Below are 9,535 nucleotides of genomic sequence, written 5' to 3' on the forward strand. Positions count from 1 at the left end.
GAATTACATCTCAATAAAGCTGTTACAAACAAAGAGAAAAGCCCCACAGGGGTAAGATGTCCACATGAGTAGTTGTAGACACTGCCCTTCTCCCTCACATCTAGCGGAGGTCAGGGGACAGGCAGAAATCACTGATCACAGAAGTGGATTCACACTTGTGAGATGTCCCAGAGGAGAGGACAGAGTGTCGTGTGAGTGGCAGGTAAGTGGGGCATTTGCCAAGGGCAGGGTTGGGGGAATTGAGGAAGTTTTATTGGAGGAAATCGTGGAGGTGAGAAAACCACCGAGGTTTCTCTGTCCCAAACACTTGAACTTCCAGGTCATACTGTCCCTGTGTGACCAGGTGTCTCAAGGAAGTGGACTTTCTGTGCTTTCAGCTCTAATTGGGGTAGGTAGGAGCCCCCCACCCCCACAAGGTGATGGTGCCCTGGGCACTTGTTGGATGTCTTGTGTTATTTTATTTTTATTTACTTATTTTTTTTGAGACAGAGTCTTGTTCTGTCACCCAGGCTGGAGTGCAGTGGCTGGATCTCGGCTCACTGCAAGCTCCGCCTCCAAGGTTCACACCATTCTCCTGCCTCAGTCTCCCGAGTAGCTGGGACTACAGGTGCCCACCACCACGCCCGGCTAATTTTTTGTATTTTTTAGTAGAGACGGGATTTCACCGTGTTAGCCAGGATGGTCTTGATCTCCTGACCTCGTGATCCACCCGCCTCGGCCTCCCAAAATGCTGGGATTACAGGCGTGAGCCACCACGCCCGGCCGGATGTGTTGTGTTGTTGTTTTTTTTTTTACTTTTAAATTTTTGTGGGTACATAGCAGGTGTATATATTTGTGGGGTACCTGAGATATTTTGATACAGGCATACAGTCTGTAATGATCACGTCGGGGTAAATGGGAATCTATAATCTTAAGCATTTATCCTTTGTCTTATAAACAATCCAATCATACCTTTAGTTATTTTTAAATGTAAAATTAAATTATTATATTTTTCTTTCTTTAGAAATGAGGTCTCACTATGTTGCTCAGACTGGTCTCAAATTCCTGAGCTCAAGCGATCTTCCCACTTCCGCCTCCCAAAGTGCTGGAATTACAGGCGTGAGCCACCGCGCCAGGCCGTTAAATTATGACTGAGTATAGCCACCATGCTGGGCTGTCAAATACTAGTTCTTATTCATTCTATTTTTTGTATCCATTCACCATCCTCACTCCCCCCCCACCCCCTCATGAGGTTTTAAAGGCTGAGTGGCAGCCAGACCTGGTTCAAATCCTCTGTAGCAAGTTGGAAGGGGGTCCCCCAAAAGATACATCTCCATCCTAATCTCTGAATGTGTGAATGTGACTTGACTTGGAAAGGGTCTTTGCAGATTTGACTAAGGATCTCAAGATGAGGTCATTTTGGAATAGCCAGAGGGGCTCCAAATCCAACGACAGGTGTCATTATGAGAGAAGACAGACGCCCAGGGAAGAGAAGGCCGATGTGAGGACAGAGGCAGAGACTGGAGTGGCGCAGCTGCAAGCCGCAGAACCCTGGAGCCACCGGAAGCTGCAAGAGGCCAGGAAGTGATACAGGAGCTAAAAATAAATTATTTAGGAGGATAGTGAGGGTAAGAGAGTCCTCGGTAAGGTTTTCTCTTTAATAAAAAGCAGCCCCCATATCATTTTTTTCTTTTTCTTTTTTTGAGACGAAGTTTCCCTCTTGTTGCCCAGGCTGGAGTGTAATGGCGCGATCTCGGTTCACAGCAACCTCCGCCTCCCGGGTTCAACCGATTCCTCAGCCTCCCGAGTAGCTGGGATTACAGGCATGGGCCACCACGCCTGGCTAATTATGTATTTTTAGTAGAGACGGGGGTTTCTCCATGTTGGTCAGGCTGGTCTCGAACTGGCGACCTTAGGTGATCTGCCCGCCTCGGCCTCCCAAAGTACTAGGATTACAGGCAAATCATTTTTTTTTCCTAACAAAAAACAGCCTGAAAAATCAAGCTGCAAACAGATAAGCAAGCTGGAAGCTGGCGTAGGGAAATGCCGGCAGGAAATTACTATGTGCCTGTGTGTACGTGGGAATTTCCTATGTGCCCATTGGAAACGGCTATCTGGGGGCCAGGCATGTTCAACATGGAGGCCACATGTGCAGTAAAGAAGCAGACAATGCGGCGCTGGCCAGGTGGAGACCCCAACTGTATAACAAAAGATTAGGGTGGGATGGCCAGCTTCTTCGTGCGCTATGTAAAGGGAACACCTGGTCCAACCAATCCTCTGCGCCCTATGTAAATCAGACACCGCCTCCTCAAGCTCATCTACAAAACCGACCGCATCTCGCTGCAAACTGGGAGGGAGCTTTTCCCTTTTGCCTATTAAACTTCCACCCTTAAACTCACTCCTTGCGTGTGTGCATCCTTAAGTTCCTTGGCGTGAGGCAACGAACCTGGGGTATTACCCCAGGCAAATGATGCCGCTTCAGAAGGATTCCCCTAGAACCTCTGGAGGGACTGTGGCCCTGCCCACCCCTTGATTTTGGACTTCCAGCCTCCAGAATTGTGAGAGAATGCATCTATGTCATTTTAAGCCACCGAGTTTGTGATCATTTGCTCCGCATCAACAGGACACGGATATTCCTCCTTCTTCACTTAAACAGCGCCTCACCTGGAGCATAGTTCTTAATGCCCCTGGGCCTTGGCTTCCACATCTGTGAAATGGGGACAGCTGGAGTGCCTACATCAGGGGTGTGTGAGGGCTTCTTGATAAGAGTCAGGGGTAGAGCTCTCAGAGGGAGGCTTGGCACCCCCTAAGTGCCCCTTGCCGGGCAGTGAGCCCCACACACTAGTTCTATCCTCCTGCAGGGGCACAAGGGGACATTAGAAAACCCAGCCTCAAGGTCTGGCTTGTCACAGCTAAGACAGGACCTCGGCTAGTCACGGGTTGTCAAGGCTGTCTTATGGGAAATGGTGCGGATGACTCCACCTCTATTACGTCTTTTTTTTTTTTTTTTTTTTGACGGAGTCTTGCTCTGTCCCCAGGCTGGAGTGCAGTGGTGCGATCTTGGCTCACTGCAACCTCCGCCTCCTGGGTTCAAGTGATTCTCCTGCCTCAGCCTCCTGAGTAGCTGGGACTACAGGCGTGTGCCACCACACCCGGCTAATTTTTGTATTTTTAGTAGAGACGGGATTTCACCATGTTGGCCAGGATAATCTCGATCTCTTGACCTTGTGATCCGCCTGCCTTGGTCTCCCAAAGTGCTGGGATTACAGGCGTGAGCCACCACACCCGGCCCCGTGATGTCATTTTTAACCCTGTTAGTTAGAGGGAAGGCGAATCTCACGGTGGCCAGACACAGCCCCTGGGGTGGGCTCCCTGGTTTAGAGTCCAGTTCTGCCACCCACTTGCTGTGTGCCCGTGGGCAAGTCACTTCACTTCTTCCTACCTTGGTTTCCTGCTGTAAAATGGGTACAGTGTCCATTACGCCACTACCCCTTCGTGTTTACTGACGCTTAGACCAGTGCTGGAAAATGCCACATGGTCATGAAATAGATGTCAGGCTCCTGACCAAGGTCATTCCTTTGAATTTGAAACCCAACCAAGTTTCTGCCTGAAAGGAAACTGCCTCTTCACCGCTGGCCCCCACCCTGCCTCCCAAGGGAAGCTTACACCCCAGGAAAGTCCTCTGGCTGAACATTGCTCAGCGGTTTACCAGCTAACGCTTCGGGAGGCTGGGGGGAGGTAGATGAGTACCTTGGCCCTTGCCCCTGCGTGCCTGGGTTTCTCCCACAGGAAGACAAACCCATCCTCCTGGTGTGAGTCCTCCCAGGCCTGGGATGGAAATGCTGCTTTGGCCCAAATATCAGGTCATATGGCCTGTTTTCTCAAGGGCTTCCCCCTTGAATTCTTGGAATTCTTGGCTAGCAGGGAGGGCTCCCAAGGGATCTGCTCCCAGGTCTGGGTTAGCTGGGCTGATTTACAGCATAGGGCACTGCCTGTGGCCTAGGGAATGGGATGGGGTGGGGAGAGGGCACTGAGGGTGGGGATTTCCACAGCTTGGTGAGGCCATGGGTGTTCTGGTGGGGGACCGGCCTCACCCCATCTTCCCCAGATAGCTTGGGGCTTCCTGGGGATGCCAAACACAGACAACTGCTGAGAAATGTTGGCTGTCACTCTTTCTCCCTCCTGCCCCTTCCAAGGTTGTGGACATAGCAGGATGGACTTTTTTTGCTGTAAGTGACAAAAGGGTAATTATGCGGTGAGCCGGCTGTGTGCTGGGTACAGGGAGGTTGATCTGCCACCCAGAACACCTTGTTTTTCCTCTCTGGACTCTGTTTTGGAACATTGGTTCAACCCCCCACCCCCCTCAGTTGTACTTTCTGTGTCTCCAGTTTTTAATTCCAGAAAGGCACAGCCTCCATAAGTTCAAGTCTGTCTGTCCATCCATCCATCTGTCAGACCTGATAAAAGAAAAACTTCAGCCAAATTAAATTTAAAGGAGTTTAATTGAGAAATGAATGATTCATGAATAAGGCAGCCCCCAGAATCATGGGAGATTCACAGAGACTCCAGTGGAGCCACGTGGTGGAAGAAGATTTCTTTTTTTTTTTTTTTTGAGATGGAGACTCCCTGTGACACCCAGACTGGAGTGCAATGGTGCCATCACTGTTCACTGCAATCTCCACCTCCCAGGTTCAAATGATTCTCCTGCCTCAGCCTCCCGAGTTGCTGAGACTACAGGTGCGTGCCACCACATCCAGCTAATTTTTGTATTTTTAGAAGAGACAAGGTTTCACCATATTGGCCAGGCTGGTCTCAAACTCCTGACCTCAAGTGATAAAAAAGCTCATCAACTAATTTTTTTTTTTTTTTTTTTTGAGATGGGGTCTCACTCTGTTGCCTAGGCTGGTCTCGAACTCCTAGGCTCAAACAATCCTGCCTCGGCCTCCCAAAGTGCCAGGATTACAGGCATGAGCCACCAATCTGGCCACGTGGTAGAAGATTTACAGACAAAAAAAAGGGAAGAGAGGTACAGAAATTGGCAGCGAGGTACCGAAACAGGATGGCCTTTGCCTTATTTGAACACAGTTTGAACACTTGGCAGGCTCTGAGTGGTTGAAGTTTGGCCGCTGGGATTGGCCAAGACTCAGTTATTGTTACAAGCGCATACTTCTATGTTAGGTTTTCAATCTTGTCTAACTATTAAGCTGGTTACAGTATGTCTACGGGGACTCAAATATGGAAGTATGGAGTCCTTCTCAGGCCATATTTAGTTTGCTTTAACAGACCTGAGAGGAGACAGGGCAGTGCTTGGGCTCTGGGCTGAGCCCTTCTACCTCTGGCTCTATGAATGTGGGCGAGTGAGTCTGGCATTCTGGGGCTTGGTATCCTCATCTGTGAAGTAGGGATCACGCCAGTACCTTCCTCTAGGGTGTTGCAGACATTGAACAAATTCCTACAGGTAAGGCACTTCACAGCTGTGCCTGGGCCATTGCAGACACTTAACCAATGTTGGACTTAGTTATTTTTGTTGCCGTTATTGTTACATTGGAATATGGGAACCTGTATGAAATTAACACACAGCCTCACACACTTGCTAGAAACCTCTTTCCCTTTGGGAATGATCTTGGGAAAGTGAGGCAATCTTGTAGAGTGTGAGTTTCATCTCCATGTGCTTACCTCAGAGGGCTGTTGGTAGGACACTGCTTGGCACACAAGGAGTCCTCAGTAAATGGCAACTATTTATTAGTTGAATTACTGCCTCGAGTACCTAGAGTGCTAGCCACAAGCAACCCCACCAGATGTGCCAAATAGCTCGTGCATCCTTACCTCTTCTGGGCTTTTGGAAATATCAGGATAATACCACATACCCCCATTGCTGTCCTCACAGATCCCTGAGGTCTAAAATCCCTCATCCAAGCCACATGGAGTGGAGGTCATGAGAAGGGAAGGGTTTGGGAGATTAGAACCTAAAGCTCATTAGAATTTTCCTTCTTTTCCTTTCTTTCTTTCTTTCTTTCTTTCTTTCTTTCTTTCTTTCTTTCTTTCTTTCTTTCTTTCTTCTTTCTTTCTTTCTTTCTTCTCTCTCTTTCTTTCTCTCTTTCTTCTTTCTCTTTTTCTTTCTTCTTTCTCCCTTCCTTCCTTCCTTCCTTCTCTCTGTCTTTCTTTTCTTTTCTTTTTTTTTTTTTTGAGACAGGATCTCTCTCTGTCACCCCAGGCTGTCATGCAGTGGTGTGATCACAGCTCACTGCAGCCTCAACCTCCCGGGCTCAAGTGATCCTTGCACCTCAGCCTCCCGAGTAGCTGGAACTACAGGCGTGTGCCACCATGCCCCACTGATTTTAAACATTTTTTTTTCTTGGAAATGGGGTCTCACTCTATTGCCCAGGCTGGTCTCAAACTTCTGGGTTCAAGTGATCCTCCTTCCTTGGCCTCCCAAAGTGCTGGGATTACAGGCATGAGTGCTTGGCCTACTGAATAATATTTTGTTGCATAGATGTGATAGTTAGTGCTAGCTATCAACTCGACTGGGTTAAGGAATACCTAGAAACCTGGTCAAGCATCATTTTTGGGTGTCTCTATGAGGGGGTTTCCATTGATTAGCATGTGAATCTGAGTGAACTAGGTGGGTAAGATCTGCCCTCAAGGTGGGCGGCCACCATCTAATCTGCTGGGGGTCCAGAGAGAATCAAAACAAAGAAAAGCCTAATGTGTTCATGTATCTGCTGGAGCTTGAATGTACTCTTCCTCTCTTATACTTGGACAGCAACTCCAGGCTCTCTGGCTTTTTAACTCTAGGACTTGCACCAGTGGTACCCCGTGCCCCCTGAGTTCTCAGGCATTTGGCCTTGGATAGAGAATTACACCATCAGCTTCCCTGGTTCTGAGGCCTTTGGACTTGGACTGATCCACGCTACCAGCATCCCAGGGTTTCCAGCTTGCAGTTGACCTGTTGTGGGACTTCTCAGCCTCCATAACTGTGTAAGCCAATTCCCCTAATAAATCCCCGCTTATAGCTCTCTCTCTATGTCCTATTGGTTTGATCTTTCTGGAGAACCCTGATACAATATATATACCACATTGTTTACCTGTTCACCGGTTGATGGACATTTGGATTGTCTCCACTTTTGGGGTATTATAAATAATGTTGCTCTGACCATTTATAGATAGGGTTTTGTGTAGACACATGTTTTCAATTCTCTTGTGTATATACCTAAAGTGGACTTGCTAGGTCATATGATAATTCTATGTTCAATAAATTTTGAGGAACTGCTAAAATCTTTCCAAAGTGGCTGCAGCATTTTACATTTTCACAAGGAATGTGAGTTCCAGTTTCTCCACATCCTTGACAATACTTGTTATTATCTGTCTTTTTTATTATAGCCATCGAGAAGTGTTCCCTTCTCTTCTGTTTTTAAGAAGAGTTTGTGAAGAATTGGAATGAATTCTTCTTTAAGTGTTTGGAATAATTTACCAGTGATGCCATCTCTTTGCATTGATCATAGTTGGAGTTTGTTGGAAATAAGAGCTTGGAGCTGCAAAGAAAACGAGCACTCAAACAAAAGATTTCTCGGCAAGGCAAATTTACTTCTGCAGAAGGGTGCTGCCTGCATCAGTCATGATCGCAAGTGCGCAAGGAACAAAGGAGACAAGGGTTTTTATCCCTAACACAGCTTCTGTTTCTGTGTCTTTTCCACATTGGCTGGAGTTGGACTGCACAATTTAAGCTAACCTGATTGGCTAAAACTTGAAATTTTTCCAAATAGGGTAGATGGGGAAGAAGGGGTAGGTGGTAAAACTTTTCCAAATATGGTAAACTGAAACTCTTAAACACATAACTTGTAAAGAAAGGAGGGGAGTGGGGGATTGTCCATTAAGGCATGTTTGGGCATGTTTAGGCACGGCAAGGATGGAAAGGCTTGTTTGGAGAACAAGAATTTATCCTTTCTAGCAATGTGAAAGGATGCTAGTCGCTAAAAGGAACAAGGAAGTTTGAAGAGGAACTGATTATTTCTGGCAGAGTTCATTTAGCTTCTTGGATATATAGAATAACATTTTTCAACAGATTTAGGAAGCTTTCAGTCGTTATTTCTTGGAATATTTTTATGTTCCTTTTTCTCACTTTTCTCCTTCTGGTACTCCCATTATATGTACATTGCTGCACCTAATGGTGCCCCACTTTTCCCTGAAATGCTGTTTATTTTTCCTCATTAATTTTCTTTGTCTTTCTGATTGCATCATTTCTATTGCTATACTCTCAGGTCTGTTGATTCTTTCTTCCAGCTGAAATCTACTGTTGGGCCCCCAAAGTGAATATTTCATTTTTGTTGTTATACCTTCCAATCCCATAATTTCAGTTTGCCCTTTAAAAAAATCATTGCTATTTCTTTACTGGTGTTTTCTATTTGATGAAACATTGTCATTATATTCTTCTTTTACTTCATTAAACATTATTTTCTTTAGTTCTTTGAACATATTTATAATAGCTGCTTTAAAGGCTTTGTTAACTCTGACATCTGGGCCCTCTCAAAGGCAACTTCTGTCACTGATGTTTTTTCTTTGTATAGGTTATACTTTTCTGTTTCTTTGCATGTCTCATTTTTTGTGGAAGATTAGAGATTTTGGATACTACATTGTAGCAACTCTGGATACTAATCCCTCCCCCCAGTTCTCCCTGAGCTTATCGCTTATGTTGTTTACTTATTTATTTGTTTGTTTTCTTTTTTGAGACAGGGTCTCACTCTGTTGCCCAGGCTGGAGTGCCATGGTGTGATCATAGCTCACTGCAGCCTTGACCTCCCCTGCTCAAGTGATCCTCCCACTTCAGCCACTCAAGTAGCTGGGACTACAAGCATGCACTATGTTTTTTTTTTTTTTTTTTAAGATGGAGTCTCGCTCTGTCACCCAGGCTGGAGTGCCGTGGCGCAATCTCAGCTCACTGCAAGCTCTGCCTCCTGGGTTCATACCATTCTCCTGCCTCAGCCTCCCGAGTAGCTGGGACTACAGGTGCCCACCACCACGCCTGGCTAATATTTTGTATTTTTAGTAGAGACGGGGTTGCACCATGTTAGCCAGGATGGTCTTGATCTCCTGACCTTGCCCGCCTTGGCCTCTCAAAGTGCTGGGATTACAGGCCTGAGCCACTGTGCCAGATGCACTATTTTTTTAATTTTTATTTTCATAGAAATGGGGTTTCACCATGTTGCCCAGGCTGGTGTTGAACTCCTGAGCTCAAATGATTCACTGCTTTAGCCTCCCAAAGTGCTGGGATTACAGGCACGAGCCCCTGTGTTCTGACCTTCTTTATTTGTTTAATGATGTGGATAAGCTATTTCAGTAAAGTCTATTTCCTTTGCAGTGTGCAGCTTCTAATATCACACCTCAGGTGGTGCAGCCTTGGTCCTGTGTACAGTCACCCTAAGAATGCAGTGTTTTCCACAGGGCTGTCTTGACTTTCTCCTTCCCTGATCTCTCTGTTAAGCTCTGTGCCTCTGTTGGTCTCACACCCAACTATTAGCCTCCACTAACTGCAGGCTAATTGTCCTACTGTTTTCAAAAA

The sequence above is a fragment of the Homo sapiens genome, chromosome 1 (genome assembly GCF_000001405.40).
Source record: "Homo sapiens chromosome 1, GRCh38.p14 Primary Assembly".
Lineage (NCBI taxonomy): Eukaryota > Metazoa > Chordata > Mammalia > Primates > Hominidae > Homo > Homo sapiens.